Source organism: Homo sapiens, chromosome 8, assembly GCF_000001405.40.
Source record: "Homo sapiens chromosome 8, GRCh38.p14 Primary Assembly".
Taxonomy (NCBI): domain Eukaryota; kingdom Metazoa; phylum Chordata; class Mammalia; order Primates; family Hominidae; genus Homo; species Homo sapiens.
In genome coordinates this window covers 86207343-86231163 of record NC_000008.11, presented here as the reverse complement: position 1 = coordinate 86231163, position 23821 = coordinate 86207343, and the positions used below count along the sequence as shown (strand labels likewise).

Below are 23821 nucleotides of genomic sequence, written 5' to 3'. Positions count from 1 at the left end.
GAGTCAAGGCAGTAAAAGGACAGTGAACTAATTCCTCAGTGTTCATGGGAAGAGGTCAGTATTTGCTTTCTAAAGTTGAGATATTTAGAAATAAAAGTCTTTTTATATTATTTAGAGCTATGAAGACAAGCACCAAAAAGATCTAAAACCATACATACTTTAAAATGGTTGGCTTCTAATCCCAGGACTTTGGGAGACAAGGTGGGAGGATCACTTGAGCACAGGAGTTCAAAACCAGCCTGGGCAACAAAGTGAGACCCCCCATCTCTACCAAAAACAAAACAACAGCCACCAAGAACAAACCAATAACCACCAAAAACCTTAGCCATGTGTGATGGCTCATGCCCGTAGTCCCAGCTACTTGGGAGGCTAAGGTGGAAGAATTACTTGAGCCCAGGAGGTCAAGGCTGCACTCCAGCCCAGGTGACAGAGTGAGACTCTGTCTCAAAAAATAAAATAAAGTAAAATAAAATGATTGTTTCCAGAGCAGGGAACTGGGAAGGCATTTGGGAAGCAGTGAAGTAGAGTAGGAAGCCCCAACTTTGCACTGTAATCCATGTCTTCTTGGAAATTCCTTTTTTTTAAAAAAAAAAAAAATCTGAATGCATTCTTTTGATGATAATTGAAAGACAAGTCAGACCAAACCCTTCTACATCTTGGTCTATTTTATTGAATGTGTCACATATATTTTGTTACTTATTATTTTTTGTCCCCACCTTCCACCTCTATTTTGTTAATTATTAAAACCAGGCTATACTTAACGAAAATGGAACAGGAAGGACAGAATTATTTTATTTCAGGAATCCATCAACATCCTTTGCAGCTACATAGGCAGGAAAATCTAGAAATTGTAATTTATATAGAATTTTAAAACTCTTCAATTACAATGGATAGAGGGGAGAAAATACAGCTCAAGAGAGTGTTTGGATATTGGTGGGGCACAAGTTTTTTGCTTATTAATATCATTGGTGCAGGAATTTTTGTGTCCCCCAAAGGTGTGTTGGCATACTCTTGCATGAACGTGGGAGTCTCCCTGTGCGTTTGGGCTGGCTGTGCCATACTGGCCATGACATCAACTCTTTGCTCTGCAGAGATAAGTATAAGCTTCCCATGCAGTGGAGCTCAATACTATTTTCTCAAGAGATACTTTGGCTCCACGGTTGCTTTTTTGAATCTCTGGACATCCTTGTTTCTGGGGTCAGGGGTAGTTGCTGGCCAAGCTCTGCTCCTTGCTGAGTACAGCATCCAGCCTTTTTTTCCCAGCTGCTCTGTCCCAAAGCTGCCTAAGAAATGTCTGGCATTGGCCATGTTGTGGATTGTAGGAATTCTGACTTCTCGTGGTGTGAAAGAAGTGACTTGGCTTCAGATAGCTAGCTCAGTGCTGAAAGTGTCCATACTTAGCTTCATTTCCCTAACTGGAGTAGTGTTCCTGATAAGAGGGAAAAAGGAGAATGTAGAACGATTTCAGAATGCTTTTGATGCTGAACTTCCAGATATCTCTCACCTTATACAAGCCATCTTCCAAGGATATTTTGCATATTCAGGCGGGGCATGCTTTACACTTATAGCAGGTAACAATCCATTGAGGAAAAAAATCTAAAATCATGACTTATTGCATACAATATGAAATGCATATCATTTGTTGTATTTTGAGTCTTAAATGATTTAATGTTTCTTTCTTCTTTGTGACTTTCTGAATCAGATCATGCCAGCCTGGCACTTGTTACCTACTCTTAATTATTTTCCTATTTAGGCTAAGGTACTTATTTGATTGAACAACTTCTCTTTTTCAACTTTCCTTTCTGGGACCACAGGTATGGGACTTCTGTGTTAATCTGTTTCCTTTCTGTTAATGGATGAATGCTGGGGTTGTGAAAATATTCCTCACCCATGAAACTGTAAATCCAGGAATGATCCAATGCCAGACTATGTTTGTGTTGTAGGTAGGTATGACGCATTGAGGCTCTAAGTATTTTTATTTACTTACTTTTGGAGTTATGTTTTATATTTTATTATAATTTTTTCCTTTCATTGATGAATGTAATAATACAAATTGATTTTACTTGCACTTGACCATTTTCACGTCAAGCATTCTGATTAATGATAAAGCTATAATTTTCATCTGTGCATTATAAAAGCAGTCACCCTACAGCAACCTTGGATGCATTTAAAAGTTAAAATAGGGCTGGGTGTGATGTCTCATGCCTATAATCCCAATGCTTTGAGAGGCTGAAATGGGAGGATTACTTGAGGCTAGGAGTTTGAGACCACCTGGGCAAAATAGTGAGATCCCTCTCCTCAGATTTTTTTTTTTTTTGAGACAGAGTTTTCCTCTTGTTGCCCAGGCCAGAGTACAATGGCATGATTTCAGCTCACTGCAGCCTCCTCCTCCTGGGTTCAAGCAATTCTCCTGCCTCAGCCTCCAGAGTAGCTGGGACTACACGTGTGCACCACGATGCCTGGCTTATTTTTGCATTTTTGGTAGAGACAGGCTTTCACCATGTTGGCCAGGTTGGTCTCGAACACTTGGCCTCATGTGAGCCACCCGCCTCTGCCTCCGAAAGTGCTGGGATTACAAGCGTGAGCCACTGCACCTGCCCACCTCCTCAGATTTCTTAAAAAATTATCTGAGTGTGGAAGTGCACACTTTTAGTCCTAGCTACTAAGAGGCTGAGGTGGGAGGATCGCTTGAGCCCAGGAGTTTGAGGCTGCAGTAAGCTATGATTGCACCACTGCACTCCAGTTTGGGCTACAGAGTGAGACCCTGTCTCAAAACAAGAAAAATAAATAACTAATAAATTAGCCAACAATGCGAAGATACTGTAACCAGGATTATAGGAGCCCGAAAGAGGCTCACTTCCTTTCCCTACCCTCCAGACAAGTACTCCCTGGACACCCGAAACAGGAAATTCTCCAGCAGTTCAGACCCCTTGTCTGCAATGACAGCACTGGGCAGCTGACTGAAGTGGGTGCCAAAGTGGAACAGCATCTTCTTGGTTCACTCAGAACATCAGAGCAGAGCAACAAGTGCTGGATTTTGCCTTGCACTTTTACTGTGCTCTTGAGCATTGTTATTTTTATATATTCAGGGATCATGTACAGGTTTGTTACATGGATTTATTTGTATAATAGTGAGGTCTGGGCTTCTAGTGTAGCCATCACCCTAACAATGAACACTGTACCCAATAGGTAATTTTTCAACCCTTACCCCCCACCCACTCTCCCCACTTTTGGAATCCTCAGTGTCACAATTTCCTCTGTATATCCATGTGTACTTACTGTTTAGCTCCCATATATAAGTGAGAATATGCAGTATTTGATTTTCTGTTTTTGAATTGTTTCTCTTAGGATGATGGTCTCTAGTTGCATCCACATTGCTGGAAAAGACATGATCTCATTCTTTTTAGGGCTGTGTAGTATTCCATGGTGTGTATATACCACATTTTTTAAAAATCCAGTCATGCATTGATGGACACTTAGGTTGATTCCATGACTGCTATTGTGAACAGTGCTGCAATAAACATGCAAGTGCGGAAGTCTTTTTGATATAACAATTTCTATTCCTGTGGGTAGAGACGCAGTAGTGGAATTGCTGTGTCAAATGGTAGTTCTGTTTTTTGTTCTTTGTAGGTTCTTAAGTATCTTTAAAGAGCAGAGAAGCATAGATATTCTAGATTGCTCTGAGGCTGTATACACTTCCCTTCAATGTTAGACAGAAGTTTTCATCTTTTCATTTTCAAAGTTGGTCTTTTCCCTTGAATTCTTTATCTTTTCCCTCCCATCCCCTTAAGGACTTTTCACATTCTTTTATTTCATTTTTTCTCACTTTCAATCTTTTCTAAAAAATCAGTTCTTTTCCTTGTTATTTATATATGTATCAGACTCTTAACTACTGAACAAAACTTTTTCTAATCTCAGGTCCCCCACCACTAATTTATCTATCATTTGTGAAATCATTTGAGTAGCCACTATCTTTTCAAAGACTATTTTTAAAACCCTGTACTGGTGCCTCAAGATGAGTAAGATATAGTCTTTATCAAAAAGGCTTACAGTCTAGTAGAAGAGGCAATACCTAGATTTGGGTCTGCCATTACCAACTATAGCAAGTGTTTTCTCCTTTCTAGCCTCTTTTTTATTATCTGCAAAATGTACATCATGGTTTAAAATGACTATAATTCTGTGCCTTATAAACAAATAATTTGATACAGTATTTAATAGATAGCCATAACGGAACAATATAATTACCTTGGAAATCAATAGAAAGGTCACTTTTTGCTGTCACTGAGTGGAAAAGTGGCAATTTGAATTGAATCCACAAAATTCCAGAAAAATATGAGTGAAGCCGTGGAGAATAGAAGCATGCAGTGTAGATATAAGACAAGGCATGCAACCTCAGGTGACTACAAAATGGTTTCCATCTGAGAGTCTTGGTATTAGATACGATTATTAAGGCAAGTACATAGAGAGACGAAGGACAAAATACATAGGATTGATTACTAAGGCAAGTACATAGAGACGAAGGATGAAACGGCATAGGGTTGGAGGGGGACAGATGACTGGACAATGCCAACTTTTAAGCAGGAGGTAGAGAAAGAAGATTCAGTGAGGAAGCCAGAGGAGGCTCAGAGTGGTATAGAGGAAAATCACAATATGTTTCAAAAAGTGGGGAATAATCTATCTGGTTAAATGCTTCAGAAGTCAAGGATCATGAGGACTGGTTGGAGCGCCATCATTGATAATGTAAGAAGTCATTGGTGAATTTTGAACATGAGAGGAAGTCAGTTTGCATTGAGTTAAAAATAAGGTATTGAGAAAAGAAAGCTATGAGGAGATTACTGTTTTACATGGCTTGTGATTAAATGGGCCAATTTCAGCAGCTGGCATAACGAGCAAATCTCATTGTTTCTTGCTTTCAAGGCTAGAAGCAATATTTCTGGATTTTTATTTGAGCCAGTTTCATTGTATCCCATTGCAGAGATGTTTCATTGTTAGATAATTATTGTCAGCTGAAAATATACTTACAGAATTTATTCTTACTGACCTATAAACTATTATGGAGTTCCTCACAAGCCGCTAGTGGTGAACAAAAGTTGGAGGAATTTCAGTGTGTGCTGGAGTTAATTTACAAAATAAGTCTTAAGTACATCTAAGTTTTAAGTAACCCTTTTACCTGCAAAATAGTGACTTGTAGACAGGCGACTTTGCAAGGTGTAGGAATACCCATCTTTTTAAAAAAAAAATTCTATTTTTTATCACCCAGGCTGGAGTGCAGCTGTGCAATCATAGTTCACTGCAGCCTTGACCTTCTGGGCTTGATTGATTCTCTCACCTCAGCCTCCTGAGTAGCTGCGACTACAGGCACTCACCATCATGCCCAGCTAAGTTTTTTTGTGTGTGGATTTTTAGTAGAGACGAGGTTTTGGCATGTTGCTCAGACTGGCCTTGAACTTCTGGGTTCCAGTGATCCACCTGCCTTGACCTCCCAAAGTGCTGGGTTTACAGACGTGAATCACCACACCCGGCCGGAATACCCATCTTTTAAGTTCAAGAGTCAAGGATATTTGTCGCTTGTCTGGCTATTATAACTTTTTATTATAAATTAAATTGTAATCTCCATCTCCTCTTTACATATCAAGTACATAATGAGAACAAGTAAAAGGCTCAGAAGAAAGAACAGATAATCCAAAAAATTGCCCTTTTGTTTGTCCCAAAGCTTTAATAACTATAGTAATTAACAACAACCATTTATTCAGCACTTATTATATGCTAAACACTAGGATTGGAATTTTGTTGTCCCTACAGTTTTCACTATAAGGAGATTGAAACCTTGACAGCCAAAGTGGTGCGGGCAGGGTTAAAATTAAAACCTTCTAATTTTTTACTAATCAAGTTCTTAATCAGCTCAGATTAGTGTTCCCCATGGGCATTAGATCCAACCCCTGGGCAGACACAGATGGAAGAAATTTGATATAGTCAAATGATAGATATTTATTAGTAAAGGGGATTTGGTTTTAAGTAGCAGAAACCCACATACATTAACTTAAACAATAAAAGGGGAACTTACTGGAAGGATAATGCTATATTTTAAGGAAGATTTGTGCAACACATCTTAGGAAGCAACAAAAAATAGGGAAGCAGACTGGACATGGTGACTCACGTTTTTAATCTGCACTTTGGGAGGCCTAGACTGGAGGATTGCTTGAGGCCAGGAGTTCAAGACCAGTCCAGGCAACATAGCGAGACCCCCGTCTCTATAAAATAAATAAATAAATATGAAAAAAATAGGGAAGTTCTAGAAATTAAAAAAAAACAAATTTTCTCATCTTCCTTTCTTTTTTAACACCATTACGTTGCTTTTCTCTTGAACTTTGTTTCAAATTCTTGAGATAAATTTTCCTGTATACCGAAAATCATTGGCTTCCAGTGGATCGGATGTCTGTTCTTTGTTCCTTTCCACTGGGCAGGGCACAGGGTGCCATTGTATATTAAGGTTATAGATGATCATTTCTTCATGCCACAGAGCAATTCTCAGGGTAGGACAAAATTTGGGGAAATGGTGTGATGAATGGAACAATATTTAAAAATAAAACTGTCCTAGAGAATCCACTCTATATGATGCTAAATATCAACTTTTTTGGCCTTTTTTTGCACTTAATATTGGCATAAAGGAATGGTCAAGAGCATACAGGAAGAGATAATTTATGATGGGCTCTTTAACTCCTTTCAATATACAGTATGAGAAATGTATAATAGGAAAATTTTGCTAGCCAGGGAGAGAGTTTCCTCTCCTAGTTTCCCAGAAGTAATTATTTTCCTGAGATCTGAAGGAAGGGTAGGGTCAACTAGGCAACTAGGAAAGAACATTCCACATAAGAGAGTAGACCCTATGGCAAGAAGGGATAGGACATTGTTGAGGAACTGCAAAGGCCAGTCAGTCTATATATAAAACACAGATAGCAAGAGAAACTGTCACATTGTCACATAATATATCTCCATAGCACCTTGTTTCTTTTCATATAGACACTTACCATAGTCACTAGTATTTTAACCTTTTATTTATGCAATTATTTAACTCATGTGTAGCTCTTCTTCTTGAGGTCAAATTTCATGTAGTTTCTGCTCACCATTGTATTCCCACTATCCAAACTCAATGCCTAGGACTTAATAGATGAGGCTAAACACATAAGTGGGCTTCAAATGGTACAGGACTTATGGGCTCCGATTTCATTTTTCATTCTTAAGTCTATCTTCAGAAATTTTGCCATCTATGGAGAAAATGAAGCATATTTCATATTTTTCTTCATTTAGCTATATTAGGCAGGTGGGTGTGTAGCAGTCCACCAGTGTGTGTGTGTGTGTGTGTGTGTGTGCATTTTAGTGTATGTGTAGTGGTGGTGGCTGAATGAATAAGAAGAGCCTAGCCCAATTGTTGACACATGGAGCAATGTTGGTGGGAATGTAAATTAGTATAATATCTATGGAAAACAGTATGGAGATTTCTCAAAGAATTAAAAATAGAACTACAATTTGATCCAACAATCCCACTACTGGGTATCTCCCCAAAAGAAAATAAATGAATAGGACATCTGCACTCATGTTTATCACAACACTAGTGTGTGTGTGTATAATATACCACAGAATATTACAGAGCCATAAAAAAGAATGAAATCATGTCTTTTTCAGCAACATGAATGCAGCTGGAGACCATCATCCTAAGTGAAATAACTCAAAAATAGAAAGAAATATTATACCTTCTCACTCATAATTAACTACAAAATGTGTACTTATGGATGTAGAGAGTAAAATGATGAACCACAGAGACTTGGAAGGGAGAGGGAGTAGACAGGTGGATGATGAAAAATTACTTAATAGGTACAATGTATGTTATTCAGGTGATGGATACACTAAAACTCTGATTTGACCACCACACAACCTATCCACATAATAAAATCATGCTTGTACCCCATTAATTTATACAAATACAAAAATAATAATCTAAAAATAATGAATTTTAGAAATAATGTTTACCAATTATGGTTGTGTCCTCTTTTGTGTTATAGGGGAGCTGAAGAAGCCCAGAACAACAATTCCCAAATGCATATTTACTGCGTTACCTCTGGTGACTGTAGTTTATTTACTGGTTAACATTTCCTATCTGACTGTTCTGACACCCAGGGAAATTCTCTCTTCAGGTTTGTATGCAAATGGCTAAAGCAATAAATAAAGTGCTGGTCCTTTCAACGTAACTATCATTTCACCAGTCAGAACCACTGTTTACTGTTCATTATTCTATATATGGAATCAACTTATAATTTTCTAAAATAACAGAGGGCCAAAGGGAATGATTTGTCTTAGAAAGGAGATTCATCTTTAAGCATGGTTATGCCTTTTCTAATAATATGGAAAGATGTATATAATGTTGATGTATGGTGTAGATCAGATTCAAAATATTAGTATTCCTTTCATGATCTCATCTCACTAGAGTGACACTGAGTAATCACTGTTTACATCGATTTTAAAACTTTCAAAATGTTTGAGTCTCAATGTTTTTCTAGGTGTCACAAAAAATGATCAATTCGAAGTGTAGAATATTGGCAGTTAAAAGAGTAGATGCTAATGTTCAATTGATGCATATAATTAATATTGATGTTAAAATAATACGGTTTACCATGAACAACTCTAAAATTTATGGTGGCAAAGTGTCCTGAACATATTGGAAATCTGACCAAAAAATAGCTATCTTAGAGACCAAATTGTAGAATAAAGAATAAAAGAATGAGAAAATTTTAAATAAATATACATTGAAAAATGAGTAACAGATCAACGAATAAAAAGAAATTTGGAAAGAAATGAGAAACAGGGAAAGTGGAAGACTAGTAATTTCCTCAAGCCAGCATTAAACGACCTCACAAGATAAACCTATCACCCAGTACCTTTAGGACTAATGTCTTTTGAGCAGCTATTATTGGTTTGGTGAATCTTTGAGGCATGGACGCAAACCTAAGGGAGATTTTGATATAAAATTCTGGTAAACTTTGCCTCAATTCTTATGTTACTGCCCTGCAGGGTGATGCCATATGGTATCAGTGCTGATTCATAATGGTCTAGCTATCTTAGGGACCTATAAACTAGATGGATTCAAGCTTCTGAGTGTCTGTGGGAAAAAACCAAATGCAAATTCAGATCAGAACAAGCAGTGATTTATTAACTACCTTGATTATGTAAAGAATAAATTTACAAAGTTAATTGTGGGTGTGGTTGGGGCTGCTGGTCAGCTAGCACCATTGTTACGGTTCATTGAAGCTGGCGTCTGTTATGACTACCAGTGCTCCGTCCATACGGGTTGTTAAAAAATCATGAATATCTCCTTCGGTGTAATAATGATTATAGCAATTTTGTAGATGGCACAATGATTTTGGCATGTGTGGAAGACTCGTGAAGTGTTTTGACCATCATCACTTTTAATTTGGCTACAATGCTTACTTTTTTAGGCATATCATCTTTAGACTTTTTGTTTAAATTCTGGGGACTGTGGTGGGGTGGGGGGAGTGGGGAGGGATAGCACTGGGAGATATACCTAATGCTAGATGACGAGTTAGTGGGTGCAGCGCACCAGCATGGCACACGTATACATATGTAACTAACCTGCACAATGTGCACATGTACCCTAAAACTTAAAGTATAATAAAAAAAAATTCTAAATTAATCTTTTTAAGTCCAAATATCTGCGTGTTTATTGTACAAGAAATTTAAATTAAGAAAATAATCAGTCATACATGAAAAATGTATGTATAGGTATAGTAATCATAGCTTTATGTATGATAGCAAAAAATTAAAAACCATAAAAATATCCAATAAGCTTGAAACAAATAAAAAATTTATGGGAAATCTATATAATAGAACATTCTGTGATTTGTAAAAGATGATATTGTTGATGGATACTTGAAGAAAAGGGGCAATGTTAAATCAATAATGAGGAAAAAGTCAGGATGTATATAATGATATAAAACAGTAAATAAGTAGTTAACAATGGTGATCAATGGGAATGATATTGTATGTGATTTTTACTTTATTGTTTGCACTGAATATTCCAAATTTTCTTTAAAGTGCAAAATTTGTGTAATAAGGGGGAAAGTTATAAGCAAAAGAAATAGTTTTTTTTTTTTTTTTTGAAACAGAGTCTTGCTCTGTTGCCTAGGCTGGAGTGCAGTGGCACAATCTTGCTCACTGCAACCTCCACTTCCCAGGTTCAAGCGCTTCTTGTGCCTCAGCCTTTTGAGTAGCTGGGATTACAGGCATGGGTCACCACACCTGGCTAATTTTTGTATTTTTAGTAGAGATAGGGTTTTGTCATGTTGGCCAGGCTGGTCTGACCTCAACTGATTCTCCCTCTTGGCCTCTCAAAGTGCTGGGGTTACAGACGTGAGCCACTAGGCCCAAATATAGTTTCTTAAATTAAGAAATTTTAACGATTAAGGGATGCATTTTTTTCAATCAAACAAGTATATGTAAAAAATATGAAAAGTTTCCATATGAATATAGAGCATCCATGATGTGGCAGGAATTGGATACTACATTTTATTTAAGGAACATTGAAAGAATTACACCAGGCTGCGATAAATATTAGATTCTAATATTTGTGGTTTAGATAGAAAAAGAAAGAATGGTATTAATCATGTAATGTTTTTGTCTGTGTCCGTGTCAGAGCTCTGACTTGTTTCTTCACCTATTTTTCTCTTAGGAAATAAAATAGCCTTTATTATGAATAAGTTTCACAACTGAGAAGGGAAGGGTGTTCTTCTAGAAAAAGGTGTATGGAAATGCCTTAGTGAGGAGCCCTGTCCCAGCTTTGAAAACTGAGGATTTCATTGTTCCTAAAGGTCTGCCACACACTGCTGACAGGGGTGCTCACATTTGATTTTCTTGAGAGTTCCATGCCATATTTAAAACTAGAGAAAATTGGCATAGGATCAGATAATCTAAAACCGTAAATACATTTTATGGAAGCAGAAGCTGAGGTTTCCCTGTCCAGATGCAGCCTAAAAGTAGCTGGTCCCAAGTACCCAGATGTTGTTAAAAATTTTGATAAGATAGCCAATGATAGACAATAAATAAATAAATTAATTAATAATAAAAGAATTTTGAAGAGAAAGTGAGAATTTTAGAATCGCTTATTGGTAAATTGATGCAATTATTTTTGGAGGGCAATTTTGTAATATCATCCTTATTTTAAAATGTATATACTTTTGGACTCACAAGGCCCACTTCTAAGAATTTACTCTAAGGAGACTTGAACAACTATCAAGAATGGGAGGAATGAGTGTTTTCATTAAAGCCCCTTTTATATTAGCAAGAAATTGAAAATAAGCTACAAATAAAACAGTATGAAATGGGTAGATAAACGCAATGACAGTTATATAATGGAATACTGAGAACTTGCTAGAAGAATTAGATGCATGCAAATGTACCAATAAGAGCAAGATGAACATGAAAAAGCAAGCCTAAGTGAGCATACAAATACATGCAGACTCATATACAACCCTAATAGATGTTTATACATTCATACAAAATTTCTAGAAGAGGATCCAAACAGCTGTTAATGGTAGTTACATTGCTCCGCATGAATGGGAGGCTGGTGAGGAGAGGGACATTTACTTTTCACTTCATGTTCTTCAGTGCCATTTATTTTACTTTTCACCTAAAACATATATGAAATCATTTTTAAAAGAAAAGAAACAACATGTGGACAGAGTCACAAAGAAAAAACATCCCTTGTGGCATAGAGCTAAAGATGATGTAGAAAGATGTATAGTTTTTGCCAGCCAGCACTGACGGAGCTGCACCTGATCCTCCTCAAGTTATAACTAACCACATTTGTAGAATGCACACTGGGAAATTGAAGGGGAATTTCCTTTGCCTTACTGGAAAGAAATATTTTGGAAATGTGACTGAAGATGTGAAATTTGTGGAGGTATGGGTGTCCAGGAGAAACAACCAACAATATCTTCCTGAGAAGAACAATAAATGAGACAAGATATTTTTAAGAAAGATCCAAAGTTGTAGAATAGCACTAAGGCTAAGGAAAAAAGTAAAATGGCAGTTGAGGCTATTTAAAAAGGGTTACAAAAAATAAATATCTTTAAGAACAAGAGCTATTAATGATATTTTAATTTTGTCGCATTTGGGAAGTCCTACCTTGTGTTATAAGCCAGTATGTTGATGTCCCAAAAGTACCCCTGGAAACAAACCTTGGCACAAGAACATAGGCTCCAAGGACATCTACCCCCAGGGACTTCAGGCCCCATTGTGCTCATTCCATTGAAAAACTGATAATTTGTTTCTCTCTGACTGAGTGATCTGTCCTAGCATATATCCACATAATATGAACTGAATCAAGTGGGTTCTCACAAACAATGGATGCTTTTCTTCACAGTTGTGTTTTGTTCCTGTGGACTTTTATTAAATTAGTACTCATAAGATCTTTTATCTTTAAGCAAAAAAAAAAAAAAGTAGAATATTCTCTAATGGTTAGTTTCTTAATCTTAGTACCATGAACATTTTATACTATATAATTTTTTGTTGTAGAGAATTGTCCTGTACATTATAGGATGTTTAGCAACATCCTTGGCCTCTACTCACTAGACACCAGCAGCAACCTCCTACCTCCCCGGTTGTAACAGCCAAAAAAGTCTCCAGATATTGCCAAGTGACCCTGAGGAGTAAATTTAACTCCAATTGAGAATTACTGGTCTATAGAAAAGTCCCGAATGTCATACATATTTTTAATGGTGTGTAACTTATTTTCTTCATCTACATGGTTCCTTTTTCTGTTAAGTATTTCAAATTGCACCATGATGTGGGAAAGTCTCATTCTGGTGTCAGTAGTGTTGCACTGTGCTTTTTGGACTCTGAATGTAACTATCAGGACTCTATAAACTAGTTTTAGAAAATAAGCTTGGATTCAATCATCCATTCAACAAAATCAATTTATTTCACAAGTGTTTATTGAAAGCCTACTGGATGTCTGTCACAGAGTGATCCACTAGTTTTATAGAAAATAAATGGATTATCCTTGCCCTCAAAAACATTCTTGGTCTATTGGGGAAGACATATAAAATGATAACCATTTACAATACAGTGTGATGGAGTCAAATAGACACCTTTATAAGGTGTTATGTAGGTGTAACTAAGGAAATAAATGATAAAATTAAGCAAACTAAATGTTATTAATTACTTAAGTTTCTGTTTTCATTTTGAAATAATATTAAAAGGTTTATCATTAGTATTTCTCTTTTAACACATTTTCTTTTGTGTATTTTTGTTTTTCTGCAGATGCTGTAGCTATCACATGGGCTGATCGAGCTTTTCCCTCATTAGCATGGATTATGCCTTTTGCTATTTCTACCTCATTATTTAGCAACCTTCTGATTTCTATATTTAAATCATCGAGACCAATATATCTTGCAAGCCAAGAGGGCCAGCTGCCTTTGCTATTTAATACACTTAATAGTCACTCTTCTCCATTTACAGCTGTGCTACTACTTGTCACTTTGGGATCCCTTGCAATTATCTTAACAAGTCTAATTGATTTGATAAACTATATTTTTTTCACGGGTTCATTATGGTCTATATTATTAATGATAGGAATACTAAGGCGGAGATACCAGGAACCCAATCTATCTATACCTTATAAGGTAAAATTGGATTTCTAATTCTTTTCTGTGTGAAATAACAGATATTGAGTATAACTGTATTTAAGATTATAATCAGAGCATCTATAAGTAGATCTTCTGAATACTCAGTTACTGTGAAACACATGAGAATAATCTAGTCTTGGTTTTAATTTTCGTTTTTATTGGCTAGGTTATTCAATATAAAAATCTCTTAGATTCCATTTAACGGTTTATTAGAGAGAAAAATAGTTCTCTGGGTGGTTGGACAGATCATTATGAGTCTTTTGACCAGATATTATTTTGTCTACTTATGTAACTAGTCATGCATATGAATGTCTTCCACAGTCAGGGCCAGATTTAGCAGATGGGAAACAGAAGAGGCAAGGTGAGGTCACAAGTGATAACATCTACTGTTCTGAAACATCAGCTTACTTTGTTGGCAAATTACATCTTTTCAACTTTACTTATTTTAAACTGACTTTCAGTCTGGATGAAAAAACTTTTCACAGGAGAGGAGACAACCACTTAATTGTAGAAAAGGAAATAAGCAGCAAAACTTGGTAGCATAAGAACGTTATTGGAGAAAGATGGCCCTGACGGTCTGATTATCAGAATAATAAAATAATCTTAGTTGCCTAGGTAGGATGTTCAAAGCTTTGCTTGGATGATCACCTTTAATCCTCTTAGTAATAAAAAGGTGGATTCAATTGTTATTTCCATTTTACAGATAAGAAAACAGATTTAGAAAAGTTAGGTCACTTGCTCAAGCTCACACAGCATGGATTAGAGCCAAGATTCAAATCTAGGCAGTCTCTTTGGAGTGTTTAAATCTTGCTAAATACAAAATATAAGAAAGAACTGCTGAGAGAAAGAAAGCAATGTTCTCATCACCAACTATGGTTGATTTATGTCCTTCCTTTCCAGTCTTCTTTCCAACTTCTTCCAACCAGTCATCTCTTAATTGTTGTGTGTTTGAGTATTAGTTGTCAAGAAGCAACTATATTTTAAGCACCTTGCTAGGTACTTTCAGTAGAAAAAGAATTAAGACTTGGCTCCTGCTTTTAGGCAGGTTATAATCTATCTGGACAGTCATGTAAACCAAAAATCACGGTGTGACGATTGCTACCTAGTGGTCTGCAGAGGATGCTCAGAGAGCACATAGGGAGAGAGATCTAATCTAGAGCAGGGCTGATGGCCACAGTCCCCCTTGGAGGTGCCTGCCTAACGTCTGCTTTCTGTATAGTTTCACATGCTGCATCTTTTTAACATGTCTTTTGCTGTTTTCTGATCCACATTTTGTTAGATCACTGACCCTAATAGATACAATTATAAAGAAGTTATGAACTGGAGGATAAATTTGTTATATACAAATAACAGTATAAGATAATCATTAAGAGTTTTGGGCTCAAGTCCAGTTGCTTGGCTAGTAGCTGAGTTTAGTCTTGTTATTGAACCTCTGAACCTCAGTTTCTTCCGATCTAAAATGGGAAAAAATAATACCTACCTCATATTAACGTTGGAGGTATTAAGTAAGCTAAGGCATGCAAACAATCCAGGGTCTGACATTGATGGCTATTATTGCTTATATTATTATTCAACTTACATTTGCATCAGAAAGGAAGGCAAGGGCAGCCTTAAGTACAAGTGGCTGAAATTTGTCTTGTATGCCCCCAGGAGTGCTCTTTTCTTTTCTCTCAGTTATTTGATAACTGATACTGAGCCATGAGATGATAAAGTATCTTTTTCTGGGACGCTTTATAAGCTAAGAAGAGATTCTTTGTTTTTTCTTTTTTTTGAGACAGAGTCTCATTCTTGTCGTCCAGGCTGGAGAAGCTGGAGTGCAGTGGCATGATCTTGGCTTGCTGCAACCTCTGCTTCCTGGGTTCAAGAGATTCTCCTGCCTCAGCCTCCCAAGTAGCTGGGATTACAGGTGCCTGCCACCACACCCAGCTAACTTTTGTAATTTTAGTAGAGACGGTGTTTCACCATGTTGCCCAGGCTGATCTCGATCTCCTGATCTCGTGATCCATCCACCTTGACCTCACAAAGTGTTGGGATTATAGGCGTAAGCAACTGTGCCCGGCCAAGAAGATATTCTTAATGATTAAATCCCAACAAATGATCCTCTAATTAAAGGGTTTTGTTTCATAAATTATGACTAGCTGTGTAATATATATCTTTGGGGAATATAGATTCATATCAGTTATATCTTATATCGATTTTCTCCCTAGATTGGGTAATGTTGTAGAGAACTCTTACAATTCTAACACAAAGCAGGTACCAGGGACTGGTCTTTAAGGCTTTTGGCAAAGCAAAAACAAAACATAAAACAGGGAAAATTGTTTTAGCTAAAATTTTTGTCTTGATTTTTTTTTTAATATGCTGAGCCTATAAAGTTACAACATTTACCTGTCAGTATTTACCTGTGTAACAGACAGTCTGAGGATAGTCTTTCTGTTTTGTCATGAATTTCTTACTGCCTTGAGATATTTTCCAGAGAAGATTGTTGTTACTTCCATTGGGCCTTAGAAACTCCCTCTTAACAGATTCATGGTACCCAGATCAGTAGATAGTGATCTTACCAGCAAATGGTTCTAGTTATTTCCATTCATGAGCAGTCAAATGCTAGATGCCCATTCCCTCCAACCTGACAATGACAGTCTTCAACATCTCCTTTCACTCAGGCATTTATCTGACTTCTAAGCCAGATTTATTCAACTTTACAGCTAATTTAGCCTGTTTTCTTTAATTAGCTTGTATCTTTGCATTTTTATTTATATGAATATGCAGGTATCATTCATGGATGTTCATATCCAATATTTTTTCAAACTTTGCTCTTTTCAGGTGTTTTTGTCATTTCCATTAGCAACAATAGTCATCGACGTGGGCTTGGTTGTGATACCATTGGTAAAGTCTCCAAATGTGCATTATGTCTACGTGCTTCTGTTAGTTCTCAGCGGATTACTATTTTACATACCTTTAATACATTTTAAAATAAGATTGGCTTGGTTTGAGAAGATGACTTGCTATTTACAATTACTATTTAATATTTGCCTCCCTGATGTGTCTGAGGAATAGATGTCGGAAGTGCAAACTCTTAAAAAATTGGCCTTCTAAAAAACATATATCAGATTCCAAATCAAGGTTAAACATATGATAGAACATTCATGGTGAAATTCCTATGGTAAATATTTTTTTCTCAAATGAAATAAGTAATGTATACAAAAGTGCCTAAGACAGTACCTGGCTTCAGAGTCACTAAGAAATTGCTAAAAGCTCTGCTTCGCATGGTAAAAAACTTAAGTCCTGGTTTGCGTAGCTTGATAGAGTGATTATACAACTTCCATTCTCTCACTTTTTTTTTCTGTATCCCACCCCTTTTCTACTGAATTTGTGGGGATCCTATAATAAAAGTGAATGACTAAAAATTTTAAAAGCATTCCTTCTCTTCATCTTACTGAGTCCTTTTTGTGTGAGGTGGGCGGGGCCGGGGAAGATGCTGATTTGAAAATGAAAAGAATAATTCCATTTTTCAGTTGGCTTTTCCCTTCCAGAATGTAGCACTTTTTTTTTTCTTTTTGAGATGGAGTCTCACTCTGTCGCCCAGGCTGGAGTGCAGTGGTGTGATCTCTGCTCACTGCAACCTCCACCTCCTGGGTTCAAGAGATTCTCCTGCCTCAGCCTCCCGAGTAGCTGGGATTATAGGCACCTGCCACTATACCCAGCTGATTTTTGTATTTTTGGCAGAGACTGAGTTTCACCATATTGGCTAGGCTGGTCTCAAACTCCTGAACTTGTGATTCGCCCACCTCGGGCTCCCAAAGTGTTGGGATTACAGGCATGGGCCGCTGTGCCTGGCCCCATTTTTTTTCAAGCTAATAACTATTTTAGAAGCATGGGGCTGGGTGAGGTAGCTCATGCCTGTAATCCCAGCACTTTAGAAGGCTGAGACAGGTGGATTACTTGAGGTTAGGAGTTCGAGGCCAGCCTGGCCAACATGATGAAAACCCGTCTCTACCAAAAATACAAAATGAGCTGGGTGTGGTGGTGTGCACCTGTAATCACAGCTACTTGGGAGGCTGAGGCAGGATAATCGTTTGAACTCGGGAGGTGGAGGTTGCAGTGAACTGAGATCGTGCCACTGCACTCCAGCCTGGTTGACAGAGTGAGACTCTGTCTCAAAAAAATAAGAAGCGTGAATCTTTAGGTTAATTTTCTTTGAGTGCCATTAAGAAAAATGTGGACATGTCTTAGAAGAACAGCATTACTGTGTCTTCACTTGATTTATTAATAAGTGTGACCTACTGGGAATGATGTAGTTGTGTATAAACTTTGTGTAGTAGATGGTTGAGTGGATAGCATCCCAGGAGTCACACTCATCCAGTATTATTCAATTTTAAAAATTCATCTGCATAGCTTAGAATTTTAAAAGATCTGGTTTAGAGATGTCTTCAGAAAGTGGGAATGTGGGAAGATGTCCAGTGACCTTTGTTAGCCAGCTCTGTTCTCTGCCTCCCTTTATCCCTCAGAGGTGGCATCCACAGATGTTGAAGGACTTGTCAAGTTTGAGGAACTATCCCCTGGTATGATGGTTAATCTTATGTGTCAACTTGGCTGGGTCGTGGGGCCCAGACATTTGATCACACATTATTCTGGATGTTTCTGCAAGGGTGTTTTTTGGATGAGATTAACATTTAAATAGTTGGATTTCGAGTAAAGCACGTTGCCTTCCTATTGTGAGTGGGCCTCATCCAATAAGTTGAAGTGCTTGCTAGAACAAAGACTGACTTCCCCAAGAGGCAATTCTGTCAGCAGATGGTCTTCAGACTTGAATTGCGACATCAGCTCTTCCATGGGTCTCTAGCCTGTCAGGCCACCAGGCCACACTACAGATTTTGGACTTGCCAGCCTCCAGCCTCCATGATTCCGTGAGCCAAGCCAATTTCTTAAAAATAAATTCTCTCACACTCTCTCTCTCTCTGTCCCTCTCTCTCTTTCTCCATATACACATCCATGGGTCTGTTTATTTGGAGAAGCCAATAACATATTTAATTTAGCATGGTAGATAATCTATTTATAGCATACTACTTATTTATTCTTAAGACAGTTGCCTTATGTGAGCCTCATGGTTCAACATTCCCTTCACATAAACCTCCGCTATACTTAGACAACTGCCCAACTTTCCTCTTCCTATGAGCTTTCAACACAATATGTGACAAAATACTTCCCGAGCTTAGTTTCATAGACGTCATCCACATTTTATAAACTCAGGAGCAGAGCTTCAGATTCTGGAGACCTGGAAGATATTTAAATTACAAGTGAGAAGAACCAACAATTTGACTGACATTAGATTTAGAAGAAATCTTAAATGTTTACAGCAGCCCCACAAAGTAACTTGCTCATCTATGTTTGTATACTCCCAGGGATGGGGGAATCACTACTTGCTAAAGATGCTGGTCCTATCTTTAGACAGCTTTGCTTTCCAAAAGCTTTTCCTAATGATATGAAGCTGCAATGTAATTTCTGTCTATTGGTAAGTCTAATCGTCTTTCACATGATATCCTTTTAGATACTTGATGATAACCATTTTGTGGCTCTGTGCCTTCTCCAGATTAAAACCCCCTAGTAGTCCAAAGTTGCCGCTTTTGAAAACCTTGATCCCTCTACACCTTGCCAGGACCTTTTTAATGTAAAGATGTCTTAAATTTTTATGCTGTAAACAATGTAGTCTTTCTGAATGTGGTCTGACTATGGCAGAGCAGGGCGGATCTATCGTTTCCCTTTTTTAAAATATTGTAGTTTTGTTCACTGTTTTGGGACCACTACACACTTAAACTTCCTACATCTTTCATGTAAGTCATGGCTGAGACATGCCTATTCTAAGACTGTGTGGGACAGTACGTCGGCAAGTCTAATAGGTCAATACAGTTTCTCAGGGAAACTTTTGTTCCACAGCAAGATAACAAGAAATTGGCTGCTGGTAGCAAGAGAGGGGTTATAAAATTTCAAGACTTCAAGGAAAGTTGCAACATGAATTTCATTATAGTTTTTATATTTTATATTATTTTGGAAATGAGCCCTTACAAAATATTTGTGTAGTAAATTTTCTGCTTGGCAATTCCTTTTGTTCTACTCGGGACCACCAGTAATTCATCTTCCTGATATGTTTCCTTTAAGAAGAGTCTATTTTGAAGCCATTTATCAATAATTCCTGGCTGGGTGTGGTGGCTCACACCTGTAATCCCAGCACTTTGGGAGGCCGAGGTGGGTGGATCACGAGGTCAAGAGATCGAGACCATCTTGGCCAACATGGTGAAACCTCGTCTCTACAAAAAATACAAAAATTAGCTGGGTGTGGTGGCAGGCACCTGTAGTCCCAGCTACTCGGGAGGCTGAGGCAGGAGAATCACTTGAACCCGAGAGGTGGAGGTTGCAATGAGCCAAGATCACACCACTGCACTCCAGCCTGACAACAGAGCGAGATTCTGTCTAAAAAAAAAAAAAATTCCTTTGATGACTTCAGGCAAGGACTTATTTGCTATACTCTCTGAATTGAGGCCAATGGTACTTAACTATTTGACACAGGTGTGCTGTGAAGATTAATGAGTTGTGTGTGACATACTTTGAAGTTGAGAAGTAATCGCTTTGTTATTGTACATATAGGGCTTCCAAGGTTATCTTGGAACAAGATAAACAAGGGTTATCTCTTGTTTGTATCATGAAATTTGCAAAGCAGACACTAGCTGAGAAGCTTCTACCTCCTCTCTATTCAGAACAGTTTAATTTTTATTATTCTATTTTTTTTTATTGAGATGGAGCCTCAGTCATCCAGGCTGGAGTCCATTGGCACGATCTTTGCTCACTGCAACCTTGGCCTCCCAGGCTCAGGTGATCTTCCCACTTCAGCCTCTCAAGTAGCTGGGACTACAGATGCATGCCACCAAGCTTGCCTAATTTTTTTGTATTTTTGTTAGAGACGGAGTTCCGCAATGTTGCCCAGGCTGATCTTGAACTCCTGAGTTCAAGCCATCAGTCTGCCTTCACCTCTCAAAGAGCTAGGATTACAGGCATGAGCCATTGAACCCAGCCCGGAACATGTTTAAATAGCTTTGTGAGGTTGTATTCATTTCCCAGAGCTGCCATGACAAATTATCACAAATTCAATTGGCTTAAAATAACAGAAATTTGTTCTCTTGCAGGAGGTCAGAAGTCCAAAATCATCCTAAGCAAATTAACACAAGAACAGAAAACCAAATACCATATGTTCTCACTTATAAATGGGAGCTGAACTTAGGGTACTTGTGGACAGAAAGATGGCAACAATTGACACTGGGGACTATCAGATAAGGGAGTGGGGAGAAGGGCAAGGGTCAAAAAACTAACTACTGGGTCCTATGCTCAATAACTGGCCGATGGTATCATTTGTACCCTAAACCTCAGCATCATGCAATGTACCCAGGTAACCAGTCTGCACATGTACCCCCTGAATCTAAAATAAAAGTTGAAAAAGAAAAAGATAAAATTAAAATAAAAAAAATCTCCCTTTCCTTTCTCTCATAAGGATACCAGTCATTGGATTTAGGGCCCACTCCAAATCCGGGATGTTCCTGTCTCAAGATCCCGAACTTCTTACATCTGCAAAGACCCTTATTCCAAGTAAGGTCACATTCTGATGTTCCCTGTAGATCTGTTTTTAAGAAGGCCATTATTCAACCCATGAAGCTAGGTCCTCCTCATTATCCAATTCCATTCCCAGTTTGTGTGGTGACCTCTTCCAGCTATAGAGGCTGGTTCAAGAAGGCCACCCTGATTTTGCTTATCTCTGTAGGTAGTAACTCATCTGCATGTTGGAGTTGGAACTAAAATATGAAATCTGGAAAAGTCTCAAACTTCATCCCAAGATGTAGTACTATGAGCCTCCATTATTAGCAATGTCTGCCAAAAAGATGGGATCAGTATTTCAAAAGAAACCTTAAACTAGACTTGAGAAACAGCCAGGTAATCTCCAGAGCTGGATTATTCTGATCCTGATGCCAGGGCATCCCAGCAAACAAAGAGAGAGTATTGGGAATTCTTGACAAGCAAGAACCTGGATGTTGCTGTTTACATCATGTTTTCTTATCTTGACTAATGATATGGTTGCGAAGGAAATAACTGTTCTGCAATGAATCGGTTCACATCTTTCCATTAGGCCTAGGCCTCTCTCAGATGACTTCTCTGAGTTGCTGCTTCTTCAGTATCTCGTATAAGAAGCTGGTAGGAAGAAAAAAAGTCACTTTGCTTAAGTGTCAGCTCTGTGCCAGAGGGTTGGGAATACTGGAGTATTTCCCAGAATACAGCATATATGCTTATTTTCAAACATGAGAAACAAACTACCTGAATGTAGAGAAGTCACAGTAACTTTATAGGGAGCAAAGTTTCAGAATTATATTTCTAAGTAACGGACTTCTATTACTTTAAGGTGAAGAAAAAAATAAGTGTCCCTTTATTTAGCTGTAAAGCAAAAGTGGGTAATTTCTCAGATCCTTCCCAGGTGTAACAAATGACAAGCATTCTTCTTGTTTTAAAAAATTTCAAATTGTATTTTAGATTAAGAGGTACATGTGCAGGTTTGTTACATGGGTATATTGCATAATGCTGGGGTTTGGGGTGCAAATGATCCCATCATGCTGGTAGTGAGCATAGTATCCAATAGGTGGTTTTTCAGCCCATGCTCCCCTCTGTCCCTCCCCATCTAGTAGTTCTCATTGTCTCTTGTTCCTATCTTTATGTCTATGTGTACTCATTGTTTAGTTCCCACTTATAAGTAAGAACATGCAGCATTTGGTTTTCTGTTCCTGAATAAATTTGCTTAGGATAATGGCCTGTAGCTTCATCTATGTTGCTGAAAAGAACATGATTTTATTCTTTTTAAGGACTGTATAGTATTTCATGGTGTATATGTACCACATTTTCTTTATCCAGTCCATCATGGATGGGCATTTAGGTTGATTCCATGTCTTTGCTATTGTGAATAGTGCTGTGAAGAGCATATGAATGCCTGTGTCTTTTTGATAGAATGAATTATTTTACTTTGGGTATATACCAAATAGTGGAATTGCTGAGTTGAATGGCAGTTCTCTTTTAAGTTCTTTGAGAAATCTCCAAACTACTTTCCCCAGTGGCTTAGTTTGCATTTCCAACAACAGTGTATAAGCGTTCCCTTTTCTCCACAGCCCTGTCAGCATCTGTTATTTTTTGACTTTTTAATAACCACCATTCTGCTTAATGTGAGATGGTACTTGTGGTTTGATTTGCATTTCTCTGATAATTAGTGTTGTTAAGCATTTTTTTCCATGTTCCTTGGCTGAGTGTACATTTTCTTCTTCTTCTTTTTTTTTGAGACGGAGTTTCACTTTTGTTGTCCAGGCTGGAGCGCAATGGCATGATTTCGGCTCACTGCAACCTCCGCCTCCTGGGTTCAAGCGATTCTCCTGCCTCAGACTCCCAAATAGCTGGGAATAGAGGCATACTCCACCGCACCCGGCTGATTTTTGTATTTTTAGTAGAGACGGGTTTTCGCCATGTTGGTCAAGCTGGTCTCGAACTCCTGACCTTGGATGATCCACTCGCCTGGGCCCCCCAAAGTGCTGGGATTACAGGTGTAAGCCACTGTGCCCGACCATACATCTTCTTTTGAGAAGCGTCTGCTCATGTCCTCTGCCCATTTTTTAATTGGATTTTTTTTTTCTGGTTCATTTGTTTATTTATGGATTCTGCATATTAGACATTTGTCAGATACATAGTTTGCCAATATTTTCTCCCATACTGTAGATTGTCTGTTTACTATATTGATAGTTTCTTTTGCTGTGCAGAAGCTCTTTAGTGTAATTAAGTCCCATTTGTCAATTTTTGTTTGGGTTTCAGTCGTTTTGGGGAATTTCGCTGTAAGTTTTTTTCCCAAAGCTGATGTCGTGAAGGGTATTTCCTAGGTTTTCTACTAGGATTTTTAAACTTTGAGGACTTACATTTAAATCTTCAATTCACCTCACGTTAATTTTTATATATGATGAGAAGTAGGGGTCCGGTTCATTCTTCTGCATATGGCTAGACAGTTATCCCAGCACCATTTATTGAATAGGGAGTTCTTTCCCTATTGCTTGTTTTTG

General features: G+C 37.9%; 1 protein-coding gene and 1 long non-coding RNA gene across 3 annotated transcripts in view; one reads left to right on the top strand and one right to left on the bottom strand.

The window, feature by feature from the left end:
* The first annotated feature begins 782 nt into the window (after window positions 1-782).
* On the top strand, window positions 783-17101 carry SLC7A13 (solute carrier family 7 member 13). Of its 2 annotated transcripts, none has more exons than NM_138817.3 (4): window positions 783-1571; window positions 8061-8192; window positions 13333-13694; window positions 16518-17101. In NM_138817.3, exons 1-4 carry the CDS (start codon window positions 887-889, stop codon window positions 16749-16751), a joined length of 1413 nt encoding a protein of 470 aa, NP_620172.2. In that variant the 5' UTR covers window positions 783-886; the 3' UTR covers window positions 16752-17101. The 2 variants fall into 2 exon arrangements, with proteins under 2 accessions (NP_620172.2, XP_011515169.1); XM_011516867.3 differs by having other exon boundaries at window positions 784-1544.
* Window positions 17102-18927: 1826 nt separating this feature from the next.
* LOC105375623 (uncharacterized) overlaps window positions 18928-23821 on the bottom strand; it is a 31769-nt gene continuing 26875 nt past the window's right edge. The window contains exon 5 of the long non-coding RNA NR_188044.1: window positions 18928-18969. This is a non-coding gene — a long non-coding RNA (uncharacterized LOC105375623). The remainder of the gene's footprint in view (window positions 18970-23821) is intronic.